This window comes from Homo sapiens, chromosome 8, assembly GCF_000001405.40.
Source record: "Homo sapiens chromosome 8, GRCh38.p14 Primary Assembly".
Taxonomy (NCBI): domain Eukaryota; kingdom Metazoa; phylum Chordata; class Mammalia; order Primates; family Hominidae; genus Homo; species Homo sapiens.
Window position 1 is genome coordinate 101,565,005 of NC_000008.11, and position 15,974 is coordinate 101,580,978.

Genomic DNA, 15,974 nt, shown 5'->3' on the forward strand with positions numbered 1-15,974 from the left:
CTGTATGTGTGAAGGGAAATAATGCTAGATGCCATTTATTGAGTTCTACTCTGTGCCAGGCACCATGGCTTACTCATTTTACTTCTTATCCTTACTGTCATCCTGCAAGGAAGGTGCATTATTTTTTCCATTTTACAGATGAAGAGACAGAGGTTCAGAGAGGTTAAGAAACAAACCAAAGATCATGCCACTAATAAGCAAAGAGTATAGTTGATAAATATACAATGGAGTGGTATTTAAGACCAAAAATATTTTAAGAAACATTTAAAAATTAAAAGATGGAAGGATTTTTATCAAAAATCATATAGATATATAATCATAATAAATCAAAATGGAAGGAAGAATTTGTTTATTCTGTACTACAGTTTTCTATAAGTCAGTTAACAATAGTTTCTGGTTTAGGAACAAAGCAACATCAAGATCTCAGTGATTTAATACAATAAAATATTATTTCTTGCTAATAAAACACTGATGCATGTCTGTACAGTTCTCTTCCAATTAGTGACTCAGGAATCCAGGGTCCCTGCATCTTGTGACATTATCATCTCTATGTGTGGTTTCTAGTGTCTCCCCAGCAGAGGAAGGGAGGCCATGGAGATGGCATACTGACTTGTAAAGTCATACTTTACTGACTTTAGTCATATTGACTAGTTGACCTGGAAGTGGCGCAACTGCACCATCTCACATTTTGTTGGCTAGAACTAGCCACCTGATCAACATAACTGCAAGAGGGCCGAGAAGTTTAATTCTCCCATTAGTCCTCCCATGTGCTCAGGAATTGAGAAGAACTATTTATAAGTGAACATCGGACAGCTCTACTGTGTATTTCATAACTCAACTCCAGGCATGTTATTTGTAGAATTAACATAGTTTGCAGAGCATCTTGAAATGAAAGCAAGTAATGACTATTTGTCATTATCTGGATAGATGTATGATCATTAGTCCATTGATTTTATATTCATCTAGTCTGAAACTGGAAGTGATCCTGGATCTAAACCCTATCCAACTTAATTGATTGACAGCTGGTAGTCCATTATCCTCCACACATTTAAAGGACAAAATCTCAAAAATGTTGATTCATCTACTACATTGGAACATGGCCTCACTTTGGATTAATGCACACAGTTTTATTATGTTTATCTTAAACATATGATGCAGTGGCTATGGTAACACCAAATTTCTGTCACTTTGTTAATGTGTTTTAGCACCAAGTAAAATTTTAGAAATTCTCTGGGATACACATTTTATACCTTAGGAGGATTTAAATCTATATGTAGTCAAAGTTGATAAGACTAGATCACTCATTATTTATATTAACATGGCATTTACTCACCTCATGCACAGAATGTCTATGAATGTCCCAGTTCTGTTAAAGCTGTTATTTAACTTTGCAGCACCATTTGACACTGTTGATCACTCCTCCCTCTTGCAAATGCTCTTGGCTTCATGTCCACAGCTTCAGTTATCATCTGTGTCCAAAAGACCTTCCAATTTTACTCTCCAGCCCGGTCCTCTCTTCTGAACTAATATTTATTATAATGTAATAATATTTATGTTATAACTATAATAATATAAATATAATAATATTATTATATATATTATTATAATTAATATAATTATATTTATTATATCTAACTGCCCGATTGATTTTTTTTACTTATCCCAAGTCTAACTTATGATCCTCCCCCATACAACCTTATCCATGTTTCTCTGGAAACATTGCACTCTGTTAGGAACATTAAGGTTGACTGCCAGTGATGCCAATTTTCCCTTTCTCATAGCAGTGAATTTGATGAGCTCATATAGAACTTTTGCTCTTCTTCAGAATGCCTGCACACAGTTTGTAGTTTTTAAAATATTTGATTAGCGTTTTTTCCTACTTTACCAGAAGCTTCATGAGAGCAGGGACCTATTCTCCTTTTGTTCACCACTGTGTCTGTAGCACTGAGCACAGTGCCTGATATAAAGTAAATGTTCAATAAATATTTATTGAAAGAGTGAATGGGTAAATGATGGGACCTAAAAAATTGTGGCTAATCAAAGACAAGAAATGGTTTAGCAATTTATGATTTCCCTACAGTTAAAGAATCATTGTCTTTTTGAGACATATTCTTACCAGATATCTTGTCTTTGCAACCCAAGAGAAAGAACAGAATTCCAATATTTGAGATTTAAATATGTTTACTATTGCCTAATGTCTAAGGTCCTTTAAGAGTAATCTATCAAGTATATGTTAGCATACCTTCTTTACTATCATTTTTCTGAGTTCAAATTTACAGATGCACTGTATCAAATCACAGTAAACTACAGTGATGTTGGCTGTCTGACTGCCTTTTGGCATCCTACAAATTATATTAATAGGTCTCCGAGCAACTGTGGAAACTTGATAACTGTAGCCAGAATGACCTGAGCATTTTGATTCTAATTCCTAATACTAATTTACTTACAGCCATGTAACCCATCAATGTAATCAGGTCTCATCTAAAGGATGGTGATGTTTTCTAGGTACACTATCCATTTAATTCTTTTAAAATTATAAAGATAATGTAACAGAATTGAAGAAAAAATTTTAAGCTTAATGAAAAGTAATATCTATGTTTGTAACATGGTAACTACAGTAGTCACCACTACTATAACATGGAACTGTGAAAAATGTTTATTTCTTCACAGTTCTTGTCCTCATGCATTCATGCATTGAAGTGGGATTCTGTATTTCAGCCAGAATGTAGTTGAGTCTTTCTGAGTCTGAAGATTTGTAGTATCATACCTTCTCATGCCATCTGGGGGATTAGAACCACAGAATTTACAAGTCCAATATGCTTTAGGAGGTTAGCCTATCCTCAGGCTGCAGAAATCTATGGCATGGATGGTAATTCATTCTTGCCATGTTTACTAATGCTGATTCACCTGGTTTTTATGGATTACTGCATATTCCTTCAAGCAAACACTTTGGAAATGCATCTGTGTCTCCAATAGTTTTTTCATCATATTACCCTCCTACTCCAAAATTTTCTAATTCCTGACCATATTAAATGTAAATACATTTTCCTAAATCAGCCTGTCCAGTAGAGCTTTCTGCAATGATGGAAATTTTTTTTAATACTATCCAATGTTAGTCACTAGCCAATGTGTTAATGTAGTACTTGAAATGTGGCTAGTTGACTGAGGAATCAGATGTTTAAATTTATTTCAGTCTAATCCACTTAAATTTAAATAGCACATGGAGCTAGGGGCTATCATATTGGGCAGCAGGACCTACATTTTCAAGTCCCTGCTAAATAACCAGGCAAGGCCTGTGTCCTTGGCCTCATGTATGCACCACATTTGTACTCATCGTTTTTGTCTTGACTCATGGTGGCCCTCCCTTGCTTGGGTTACTTTCTCTCAGTTCCTTCAGTTAATCCAGGCTGTCTTTGACTTCCAAGGGTCAGAGCGAAGCTCACCAGCTCTATGAAATCCCCCTATAATTTTGCTGATCTTCCTTTCCTGGTAATGCCCAGTCCATGCTTTTCCAGTCAAGACACATGAAAGAATGAATGATTCAACATAGACTTTCATATATAGCCATTTTCTGTATTTTAGTTTTTTTTTTTTAATGTGAATTTATTCCATCCCCTCAACCAATTTTTATCTCTCTGAGGCCAGGGCAGTGTTATATATAATTTTGTGTTTCTTCTGGCACCAAAGCAGATTGTGAAGCCCCAGAAAATTCCCATTGAATGCTTTGCTGATTACCTAATTTATTGCAAAAGAAACACAAATCTGTACCTTTGATTCTCTGTCATGATTATTTATTCAGCCAACAATTATTTGGGCAATGTTCCTGGGATTCATGTGGGTAAAATTTGAAGGGAAGATAATCTTCTTGAATTCAAGAAGTAAGATTGGATAAAAAGAAGGATCATAAATATGTATGGAAACTGTGATATAAGGTATGCTGAGTTCCAGAGATGATGGTTAGGAGTTGTGAGGAAGTTTGGAAAATAGCTGTGGTAACATTTTTCCTTTAGAAGGAAACCCTTGAAATGCTGGTCAAAGAATGTAAGTTTATTGCACAGAAATGAGAGGCAGGAAGGTTATCTCTTAGGAAGAGACACTTGAAAAATGGTCATAGTGAAAAAACAAGATACGTGGTCAATGAAATGCTTTTTCATCAGTATTCTACAATATTCGCTTCCGATCAAGAATTAGGGCTTTTGGTCGTCTACTTTTGAAAAGGTTCTAAGATGCAGCAAAGCACATCCTATATGCACTGTACATACAATTGAACATCTTGAGACCCAAGCTTCTTTGTGTGTAATACTAAACTTAGTTTCCCCAGAAAACCTACTCTTAACAATATTGTGATAATGAAGATCCTTAGAGAAGGGCACTGAATAGGGTCAAATTATTACTTTATAATAGTATTTATACATGTACATAGTGCTCACTATGTACCAGGCTCTATTCTTAGTAACTTCACTTTTTTAAGAAAATAGGGTCTTAATAGGCACTCCAGCCTGTCGCTCAGGCTGATCTGAAGTGACGTGATCGTAGCTCACTGCAGCCTTGAACTCTTGGGCTCAAGCGATGCTTCCGCCTCAACTTTCTGGGTAGCTGGGACTACAGGGATGAGCCACCACACAAAGCTAATTTTATTTTATTTTTAGTCAAGACAGGTCTTGCTTTATTGTCCAGGCTGGTCTGAAACTCCTGGCTTCAAGCAATCCTCCTGCCTTGGCCTCCCAAAGTGCGGGATTACAGGCATGAGCCACCATGCCCAGCCTATTCTTAGTACTTTTTAAAACTTATTTAATTCTTCTAATTATTATAAATAGAAATTTTATAGATGAAGAAAATATAGCATTTGCCTCATTTTATATAGGTAACAGGTAAAAGAGCTAGAACTTGACCCTATACAATCTTGCTTCAGAAACTATGTTCTTAACCATTCTACTGTATTGCTTTTTGCTGCGCTATATGACCTCTGTGTAATTCGTGTTCTGTTACTTCAGAATTTATGACATTTGGAATAAGTGTTGGAGACAATAGCAAATGGAAGAGATGTATTATCTATTTGAGGAAACAGCTTCCAGTACCTCAAACTCTGTAGGAACACCTGCAGACACGTGAATAACATACAAAGCACAAATGTATTTTCTGTTGAGTGTAGCTCTCAGTGAGGAGGTGATAGGTGAGTTCTATGACTACTTTTGCTGTAGTTGAAAACATAATATCAAATACATAACTTTATTTTCTAATGAGAGAATAAAATAGTTTGGATACATTTATTATTATCATTTTTGCATAATGACTTACCTATTTGTTTTAATTCCGATGACTCATATTTTGCAGAAATTTCGGAGTGCTTCAGTTGGGGCTGAGGAGTACATGTATGATCAGACATCAAGGTGAGTTACCAGGAGATGCATCCTTAGAAACTGATTAACTGATAAACCTTTAAATGTACCTTCGAGTTATACCTTTAAACCTTTTTTCTTTGTAAACTTGTACAGAACAGTGTGATTTCCTTTGCCTCAGTGCTTTTTTCTTTATACAAAGGACTTCTATATCATTATTTCCAGTCTTGGACAATTTTCTGGGACCTACACCCCTTTTCTTCCTTCTGTTGGCTAGACATTCTTTTGTAGGTGTTCCTCTGAACCTCATACTCATGTGCTTCCAGCCCAACAAGTGTAATATGAAGCCCCATCTTTTTTCTTCTTTCCCTCCTTTTCCACTTGTTTCACACCTGGTGTTCTGCTTTTATTTCCTATTGTGGCTAATGATGTACCCATTCTCCAAGCCACCCCAGCTAGAGGTAAAGGATCTGGCTTCTTTCCTGTTGGACTTTCTCAGCACTTGCTAAATGCTGAATTGTCTGTTCCACCTGTCATCTCCTTTCCAAGTTACCCTTGTCAACTTTCTCCTGAGCTATTGCAATACATTGGATCTCCCTGCCAACACTTCTTTTTTATTCCACTGTGCACATAGCCAGCTACCAGCTATCATGCACTCAGGTGCCTTCCATGTGCAGCAGTGTGAGTAGGGTTGGGGATAAGATATAATCTCTCCTTACAAGAGGTCCACACTTTTGGAGGAGACAAATGTGATGACAGACAAATTGAAAAACATTTGCTAAGAGATGAGTCCTGCTACAGAGATATATAAAGAGCTAAATGGACCTATAGGCCTGCACATGTGTGTGGGAGTAGGAAGGTGTGTGGGGTTGAGGGCAAATATTCACAGGAAGTGGCATTTGAGCTGCATCTTGAAGGATTAATAGCAGGTGTTTTCTAAGGAAAGAAGGAAGATTAAGAACATTCCAGGTAAAAGAGTCATGTTTTAAGACCTTGGTTATGATCATGTCTGAAGACAGGAGAGAATGGCAGCTGGGCGTGGTGGCTCATGCCTGTAATCCAGCACTTTGGGAGGCCGAGGTGGGAGGATCACTTGAGCTCAGAAGTTCAAGACCAGCCTGGCCAACATAGTAAGACCCCATTACATAAAAAAAAAAAAAAAAGAGTGAGAGAGTGGCAAGAAATGAATTTATCTCCCCCATTTACAAAACTTACTGAAGATTTTATCATTTCAGGCAGAATTGAACTCAAATTCCTTATGAAGGTCATCAGGGCCCTCTATGTTTTGGTCCCTCTTTACTTAAAATCTCATCTCCCACTATGTTTCTTGCCCCTTTGCTTTTACACATATGGCCCTTTTCCATTCTCCTGGTTTCCTCTTAAAGTCCTCTGGTTCCAATCTCAGGCTCCCCACTCATCCTCCCCAGATCATCTTATTTAGAATTCCTGGGGGCAGGAAGCGGGAGGCAAGGAAGAATGGACTTGAAATTGCCTTCTAAAATGTGGGAATAGGAGTCTAATTTGCGTGCTGTAAATCCAAAGCACCATGTCAGCAGCTGCCAGGCCAGTGGGAAGAGCAAGGACCTACCAGTGACTTGACCTCGTTTCTCTTTCCGCTGCTGCCATGGTCCAGCAGAGCGAGCATGTCTCTTAGCCTCTCCTTAGCTGTGAAATGAGGAAGGTGGGCTGAATCTTGGGTTTTTATCCTGTGTTATGGGCAGGCTTGATGGACACAAATCCCTGAAATTATATTAAAAATCGTTTATGTTCATAAGTGCCTTTATCTGGGAAGGAAAATTCACTGCTTTCTTCATGTTTTCAAAGCAGTCTGTGCCCTAGACAAGACGCAAGCTAGTGGTCTAGGTGATTCCTAATATCCTGTCCAGGTCTAAAATGTTATGATTCAATGGTACTGTGTTGAAATTGCTTTTTCAGACAAAATGACAATGGAATCAGTTCTGTTTTGAATGATTTATTTCCCAACTTCTTTTAAGACACATATTCTGGAATTTGCTTAGTTTATTAGCTTAAGCCTAAGATTTTTTATCATAAAACAGGAATATTATTCTGCCCTTCAGATTTTCTTATTATAAAAGTTAAAAAATAAATAAAACATTACAGGAATATTTAACATAGAAAGCAAGAGCCCCCCATAATCCTGTCAGGAGGCCATTTTCAGAGATAAAGTTTGAGTCATCTTTGTGCCCAGCCTTCCAACGACTATGAAATAAAAGAGCTAAAAAAATAAACACAATGGAGAGTTTCTGATGATCTAGAAAATATGTGGTGTTTGTTATTGGATTGTCACTGTGAGCCGTCCTGCAGTATAGCAGAAATAAATATTTCTGAATGAATGTGTTAAACAAAAAATGATTGTGGTTCATACCTGTTGTGTTATTTTAAATAATTGATATACTCTTCGAAGTTGGGAAAAATCAGTGTTTTTCCTTTGTAAATTATATCATGTTTTTTAAAAAATGTGAGGGACACTATTTAGAGCAGGGATCTGCACACTTTTTCTGAAATGAACTAGAGAGTAAGAATTTTAGGTTTGGCAGGCTATCGTCTCTACCACAACGACTCAACCTTGCTGCTGTAGTACGAAAGCAGTCATAGACAGTATGTAAACAAATGAGTGCAGCTGTGTTCCAATAAACCTTTATTTACAAAAACAGGCAATGAGATGGATTTGGCCTATGGGCCATCATTTGCAAACTCCTGATTTAGAACAACCCTGCCATGAGTTCTTCCGCAGGCTTGAAAACAAGAAGCAAAATACAAAAAGTACTCCCTGTTATTAGGGAACTAGATTCTCAAGTGAATGTTTGAGTTTTGGATTTTCATGTTTTGAGATGTTTTATAGTAAGATACAGCTATCTGTAACACCTTGGTTAGACAAAAAAAAAAAAAAAAAGGTTAGGTATATACATGAATTGAACAAAATTATTTATTTAGTTGTTTTGTTGTTAGGGTAAAAATGGCAAATTCTATTAATTCTTAAGCTTCAAGCATTACCTAATTGCCAGCTAAGATCTACCAGGGGTTCTCCTGGTAGAGCTGTTTTTTGCACAATTGGCCAGGCACATCGTGGACTTTATCCCCTTCCAAACCATCTGGTTTATGGGCCACTGTTAGAAATGTTGTATACATTGTACTAGCAATGACCTTTGATCTGGTCTCATCTCTTTTGCCATATGCTGTGTTTTGTCTCTAAAACAGTAAACATTGGTTAATGTTCATGTGAAATGCTATGATGTGAAATTGGTCAAAAGAGCAGAAATGTCCAAGTGAGTGGATCTGACCGCTGTTTGTTTTCTTTCACAGTGGCACATTTCAGTACACCCTGGAAGCCACCAAATCTCTCCGTCAGAAGCAGGGGGAGGGCCCCATGACCTACCTCAACAAAGGACAGTTCTATGCCATAACACTCAGCGAGACCGGAGACAACAAATGCTTCCGACACCCCATCAGCAAAGTCAGGGTAGGGGCCACATTTCTCAGATAAAGTACAAAGGAATCCGATGAACGGAATGGCTACCTCACAGCCTTGTGGAATGGCATGGAAAAAAAATAAAACCTTCAACATAAATAATTCTAGAACGAATGTCAGAGAGTTGGGGCAAGAGCACTTATTGGCTCGTAGTTGATCATTGTAATCAGTAACCAGTAAACCCCAGGGAAGGGACATGGTTGGAACATGCTGTCTGACTGTATCCGAGGAATTTTCCCGCTTCACTCACTGCTTATGTGCTTCCTCGTTGTTGTTATTTTCAATCAATTGATCTTAATTTTTCAAGTAAGTAGCTGTAAGTCAGAACCCCTCTGTGGGTGAGAAAGAGCTTTGTTCTATTCTGTAAAGGAAAATGCAGTTCACTCTGAATCCCTGGGCCTGGTGGAACTTGGTTTCAAAGCCTTCTGCAGCCCAGGGCTTTCTCAGGGTTCCAGAGATGAGGCACGATCCCCACCAGGAGTCACTTGGGGGAGTTTTCAGATTCATGAGTATTATTTCTACTTGTGGGAAATGAAACTGGCTCTCCCTTCTCTGGAAGCCTGCCAGCTTCTGGCGTACTTGCTACTGCCAAGAAGGGAGAGGCCCGGTAATCCTTCTCTACTGAAAAGGAAAATTATAGCACAGCTCTGAAAAGAGGTGGAAGGACTTTCCTGATCTGTTGTAAAATGATTTATGGTGTTGGGTCCATGATGCCCAGCCCACCTTATTTTAGTCACAGCTCCCTCCTCCTACCACTTCAGAACACTTAAGAAGGGGGCACATGGTGTGCCTACAGCGCCACAACTCGGGCATGCCGCCAGTGCAGGTGGGGCGCAGGTTCCACGCAAGGCTGAGCTCACTGCAGTGAGAAAGCTGCTGGTGTGCTGTGTGCCCATCAGGAGAATTAGTAAATTCTAATGCTGTGGTCAAGACTGCGGTGAAGAATATGCCATCACAATAATAATAACAAGAGTCATAAAATAACAATTTATATTTATTATCTTCAAGCGCCAGGTATTGTATTAGGTGCCATCTGTCTAGTAACTCACTGAAACTGACAACAATCCTATGAAAAAGGCACTGCTGTTTTTATGATATTACAGATAAGGAAACTTGGTGATAAAGTTTCAGAAACTAGTAACCGGCCAAGGTTACATAGCTAAAAGGTGAGGGAACCAGGATCTACCCCAGGGCGTCGGACTCCTGAACCCAACTCTCTTTACTGTGAGGTTGTGCTGTGTTGAGCAGCATGGAGGGCTGAAGGCAGGGAAATGTTAGCCTGGATGTATTTCTCTCTGGATATATTTCCTATAAATTACATCCTCCCCCTCTTGTATATGAGCATCTGGTAAGAAGACACTGAATAAATTAGCTTTTTTTTTTTTAAGCCTTATAAATTCCAAGTGTTAGTATAACTCATATACACCCTCTTAACATCATTATCATCAACCTGGAAAAAATGGTGGGTGGTTAGTATTCTAAGGTCATGACAACAGTTTGGAGTACAGGGACTTTCCCAAGAATTCTACTTTGCTGAAATCATGAAAATAATTTAATAAGAAAATTTTATTTCTTTATGTTCCATTTTGGCTAAAGTGAAGAGTCCCCCCTTTCTTGGAAGGACTTCAACCTCCACCCTTGGAGACTAAGTTGGCGCCTCTCAGAGTGGCTCTTTCTTACTCCCCGGCTCTGGAGCAGGAAGGAGAAATGTGTTTGTCACCTATCAGCATTTATTTCTGAGAACAGTGTTTCATTCCAAGTCAAAGCATGTAGGGCGTGGTAACAACAGTTTCAAACTGCGTTTTCCTTTATCATTGAAGAAATGAATTTCCATACCAAGAATATGCCATTATTTATGCTAATTTAGACACTTGCCAGAAAAAATATTACTTTAAATTTTATTTTTATTTTGCGACAAATAAATACCAGGAAGCCACGCAGTAAACTTTGACACATAAATGGAAAAGTTTGAGGCGTGGCAGAGGGTAGAATGAAAAGCTGGCTGAGCTGGTAGTTGCACCAGCACAGAGAATGGTTTTCTTTGTTGTCATGTATCCAGTGCCTCTGAAGATCTCACTGCTTGTGAATTCGAAACGATATGGATACATATTTCTAAACAGTTTTCCTAACAAACATCTGCTTTCTTGTGTAAAAATTGTTTACACATACTTTAGGCAAGAGCCAGATTTCAAAGTGACAGCCAGCCACCGGCATGTATTTGCTGTCTGTTATTCGTCAGGTGCCAGGGTGAATGGCAGACACTGTTTCTGTCCTTGCTAAGTTTGATGTTAATTGGGAAGACATTGCCATTGGCTGAATAATGGTAAATAAGTAAATGACTACTAATGTGTAAACTGCTACAAAGGAGAAAGTTGTTTTGGTTTTGGTTTTGGTTTTTGAGACAGGGTCTCTCTCTGTCACCCAGGCTGGAGTACAGTGGCATGATCACTACTCATTGAAGCCTCAACCTCCCAAGCTCAAACGGATCCTCCTGTCTCAGCCTTCCAAGTAGCTGGGACTTCAGACGTGCACCACCATGCCTGGCTTTTTATTTTATTATTTTATTTGCAGACATAGGGTCTCACTATGTTCCCCAGGCTGGTCTTGAATTCCTGGACTCAAGAGATCTTCCCCCCTCAGTTTCCCAAAGTGTTGGGATTACAGGCATGAGTCACCCGGCCCAGCCCTAAGAAGTTCTTAAGGAATGAGAGTCCATGAAATATTTTTCAGGAATAGTAGGAAAGTGCCTAAGAAGTGTTTTGGATGTGGAGTGAGAGGAGGAGTATTCCTGATACTGTAATTAAAGGGTTTTTTTTTGGAAGAGGGTTGTTTTTGGTACTGTCTCCATTTCATAAGTGACGGTGAATTAATGTGTATTTAGTTTAATGAGGCTGTTTATAATTTAGAACTGAAAAGAGTTTTGAATTCTTATTTCTGCAAGATATAATTAGTTTCTCAAGCTCATTTTTAAAGTGCATCCACTTTAGATTTAAATAGATATCATAGTTGCTCTTGCGTTTTTCAGTGTATGAAATATCTGTAGTTTAGATCTATGTTCACCAATATGAATTTGTCTTTCAGCATTTTCCTCATTTCCTTAGTATTTTTCTCATTAATTTTGATATTCCAGCCTGAGCCACTTAATTAGACCACAAACAGATGTTTGCTTCTTTACAAATGGCATCACATTTTATGTTTAAGGAGTAGAAATTTCAAAAGAATGCTTGTTTCCAATACAAGAAAAAAAAATTTGGGGGGGGTTTCTGCTGACCTCACAAAATAATACATTTGCTGCTAATTGGTTAATCCAGTTGTTTATAACCTCCTGGTAAAACTGATGTAGGACTCTTTTTTTTTTCCTTCATGCTTCAAAATGAATTTGAAAGACAAATTCATTTTTTAAGTAGGTCCATTTTATAACAAAACGGACCATACAGCCAAGCTTGTCTGGGCTTTTCTAAAGCAAGAAAAGCAACATGACACAAACACACCTCTGGTAGAACTTCCAGAACTGGAGACTGAGGCAACAGAGGCACTGAACAAAAAGTAAGCTCCACGATTCTCCCCTCTGCAGAGTGTGGTGATGGTGGTCTTCAGTGAAGACAAAAACAGAGATGAACAGCTCAAATACTGGAAATACTGGCACTCTCGGCAGCATACGGCGAAGCAGAGGGTCCTTGACATTGGTAAGTTGACCTTGACTTCCCTGTATAGTCCTCGATAAACTGACATGTTGTCTCAATGCCAAGGGGAGCCTGGCGTAGTAATCACAGCTGGAGCCACAGAGCTCTTATGATGTGCCCGGCACTAGTCTATGTCAGGACATTTAGTGCAGATCAGACTGAGTAACCAAAATCAGGCTAAGCCGAGAGCAAAGCGTTTTCTATTCTATGAAAGTCAACTGTGTCTCATAAAATCATAGTCATATAGTTAGATTTGCAATGACCATTTCAATTCCTAAAACGTGTTTTCATGGCCTCCCCGTTTGAGCCTAGTAGGCAGTCAGCAGGTCAGATGAACTCTTATCCCTGTGACATAAATAAACTCAAGCTCGTGTGACCCTAAAGCCATTTGGCAAAGGTCATGTGACTACACATTAAGTTTCTAGTTCTCTGTCCAGTGTTCTTTCCATTTCAACACATGCCTAGTGTAAGCAATGCTAGGTGGTCACGCAAGTGAACCATTTAAAGAAGGAGTGAATCTGCCAGGAGTCTGTGTACCCCTAAACTTGAGGTCCGTTCTGTAGAGACCAGCAGCCCCCTGGATGGCACATCACTCGGGGTCCAGTCTGGAAGGCAACACTCATGCCCAATAATTCACTGGGCATGAATTCATTGCCAAGGTTGGAAAGGCTGAAGGCACAATGAGACAATCCAGCTATTACCTGCAGGGCTGGAGAATCAAAGGGAGGAGGAGGTGGGTGTTGGAGGAGCCACCCAGCAGGAGCTGGGACCACAGAGAGAGCTGTTTTCCAATGGGAGATGAAAGCACAGCAGAATTGCTGCCAGAGACATTCTCAGTGCCAAGAGGGAGGAGAAGAACTGTCCTGGCTTCTCTCTGCCTCGTGATCTCCTGCCAGTGCCTCCCATCGGCAGAATTTAACTCGGAGTCAGAGGGCACATTACCGTGGAAAGTGCAGTTTGCAGAATCAACCTCTGAGATGCAGAGCAAAGTAGGGGAAGTCAGGGAATAGATCTTAAAGCTTCCAAAAATTACTTAAAAACAGACAGTAATGTATGTGTTTCCAAATAATTTTACCACTGTTTCCATAAGAAGTAAGTCATTTCTCATTTGTAGACTTCATTACCCCATTTTGCTGACTAAGATGCTTCAGTCCAAATGAGTGTGGGCTAAGTGAAGGTTCCCATCCTGCTGGGTATGAAAAGGTATTACTGAGCCTTGCAAAGGACAATTACTTTGATTTCTTACACATTGCAATGAGGACTTTTCAGATCTTCCATTTCACCCTGGCTAGGACTTCTTGACCACACTGGCAGAGTTTAATGACTAGGATAGGGTGAGAGGCTCACTGTAGAAGACAATGAAACTAGTTACTGGTTTTTCTTGCAAAATAGTTAAGCCGCTCCTCACCTCCGCATCACACACATACACCTATTGTATTAACTAGTCAAACATATTTATCGAATAAACAAGGAAACTGAGGCCTAGGAAGTCTCACTGGCCCATATCACATGACTCCCCCTCAGATAATTAGTGCAAGAGCCGGGATAAGATCTGTGTTCCTGACCTGAGCTGATAAACTAAACCAAGACCTGGTGACTAGGACGGGGATTGGGGATACTTGCCTTAACCTGTTTAGTTAAATCTGCATAGAGCAGAGGAACAATTTTATTTTATTTGAAAAGTTAGCCTTATAATTATTACCCAAGAAAATGAAAGGAGCAATTAAAGAGAAATATGGAGTAGGTCCAAATAAGGCAAATAATAAAAGCATTTTACTGGCATACCTGTTGATCCAACTTTGATATTGTTACAGGGTTTACTTTTCTGAGACTAGAATGATTTCTCAGATCTTGTAAAACTTCAGATCTTCTTATCTTCTTTATCATCTCTTGCCTGCCTTCAGACTTTTCTTTCTGTATACACATGTGTCCCCATAGGCACACACATGCTTTATCTCTGAGATTTGTGACCTTTACTAAGTAGCTTCATGGGTAGCTGGGCTACTTGCTTCCAACCTGAGAACAAGGCATTAAATCCATCAGTTAGCTTCAATGAGACATGAATTTTCTGAGCACAGTCTCTACCCCAATCTCAACCTGACATCTGCTCACATAGAGAGAGAAAATATGCAAAAATCTCATACAATTCATTCTTCTGCTAGATTAAAAAAATCAAATCATGCATTTCTCTGCCAGTGGGTTGTAAACACTATTTCCCACATAAAGGAGCACCGATGGTGTCCTGGCACATATGTCTGCCTGTTGCACCGTCATCTGCTTTAACTCTGGAGTGTGATATTGAGAAGGTTTCTGAGGTCACTCTTTGTCTCCACTAGGACTATCATGGAGGGTTATCAGTGCCTGCAGAGGGTGAAGGAAGGCAGAGAGTGCGTGGGCCGTACATTTGCTAGTTTTGGTTAGGAACATTCTAATGGCCTAAAAAATAAAAAAGTATCCTGAATTATTTAATGCATTTCTTTTTTGAAACCCCCGTGAAACTGGAGGTTAAACTCAGGGCTCAAAAGTCTCAATTCCCAAATCTCCACCAGCATCTATGATCTGCAGGTTCAACCAAGTCAGCCAGGCAGTGACCCTGAGGCTGGAGTTAGAGACCGAGATGAGGGCCCCTTAGCTAAAGCAAGGGTTCTTTTTTTTAAATTGATACATAATAATTATATGTACTTATGGAGTACCTGTGATATTTTGATACAGGCATACAATATGCAATGATCAAATCAGGGCATTTGGGATATCCATCGCCTCAAACATTTACCATTTCTTTGTGTTCAGATTATCTCAAATCTTCTCTTCTAGCTATTTTGAAATATGCAATAAATTATTGCTAACTCTAATCACTCAGCTCTGCTATTGAATGCTGGAACTTATTCCTGCTCTCTAACTGTGTTTGTACCCATTAACCAACCTCTCTTCATCCCTCCCTCCCCGTCACTCTTCCCAGCCAGGGTGACCTCAAGTGATCTGCCTGCCTCGGCCTCCCAAAGTGCTGGGATTACAGGCGAGAGCCACTGCGCCTGGCCAAAATAACCCATTTTCTTGTTTAAAAGCCAAGATGCTAAGAGGGAAGAATTTTACGCAAGATCACACATGTGATAAGTGGTATGTAGGTGGGATAGAAACCCAAGAATGCCAAAATGTGCACCATTTTTATTTTTATTTATTTTATTTTATTTATTTATTTATTTTTGAGACGGCATCTTGCTCTGTCACCCAGGCTGGAGTGCGGTGGCATGATCTCGGCTCACTGCAGCCTCCGACTCCCTGGTTCAAGGGATTCTCCTGCCTCAACCTCCTGAGTAGCTGGGGCTACAGGCACACGCCACCACGCCCAGCTAATTTTTTGTATTTTTAGTAGAGACGGGGTTTCACTGTGTTAGCCAGGATGGTCTCGATCTCCTGACCTCGTGATCTGCCCGTCTCAGCCTCCCAAAGTGCTGGGATTAT

At 39.4% G+C, this 15,974-nt stretch overlaps 1 protein-coding gene across 4 annotated transcripts in view; it reads left to right on the forward strand.

Moving 5' to 3' along the window:
• Window positions 1-15,974, forward strand: part of GRHL2 (grainyhead like transcription factor 2) — a 188,762-nt gene that overhangs the window by 72,566 nt on the left and 100,222 nt on the right. For all 4 annotated transcript variants that reach the window (NM_001440447.1, NM_001330593.2, NM_024915.4 and 1 more), the window contains exons 5-7: window positions 5,335-5,390; window positions 8,664-8,820; window positions 12,404-12,515. In NM_001440447.1, the coding sequence (NP_001427376.1) occupies window positions 5,335-5,390; window positions 8,664-8,820; window positions 12,404-12,515 (325 nt within the window). The remainder of the gene's footprint in view (window positions 1-5,334; window positions 5,391-8,663; window positions 8,821-12,403; window positions 12,516-15,974) is intronic.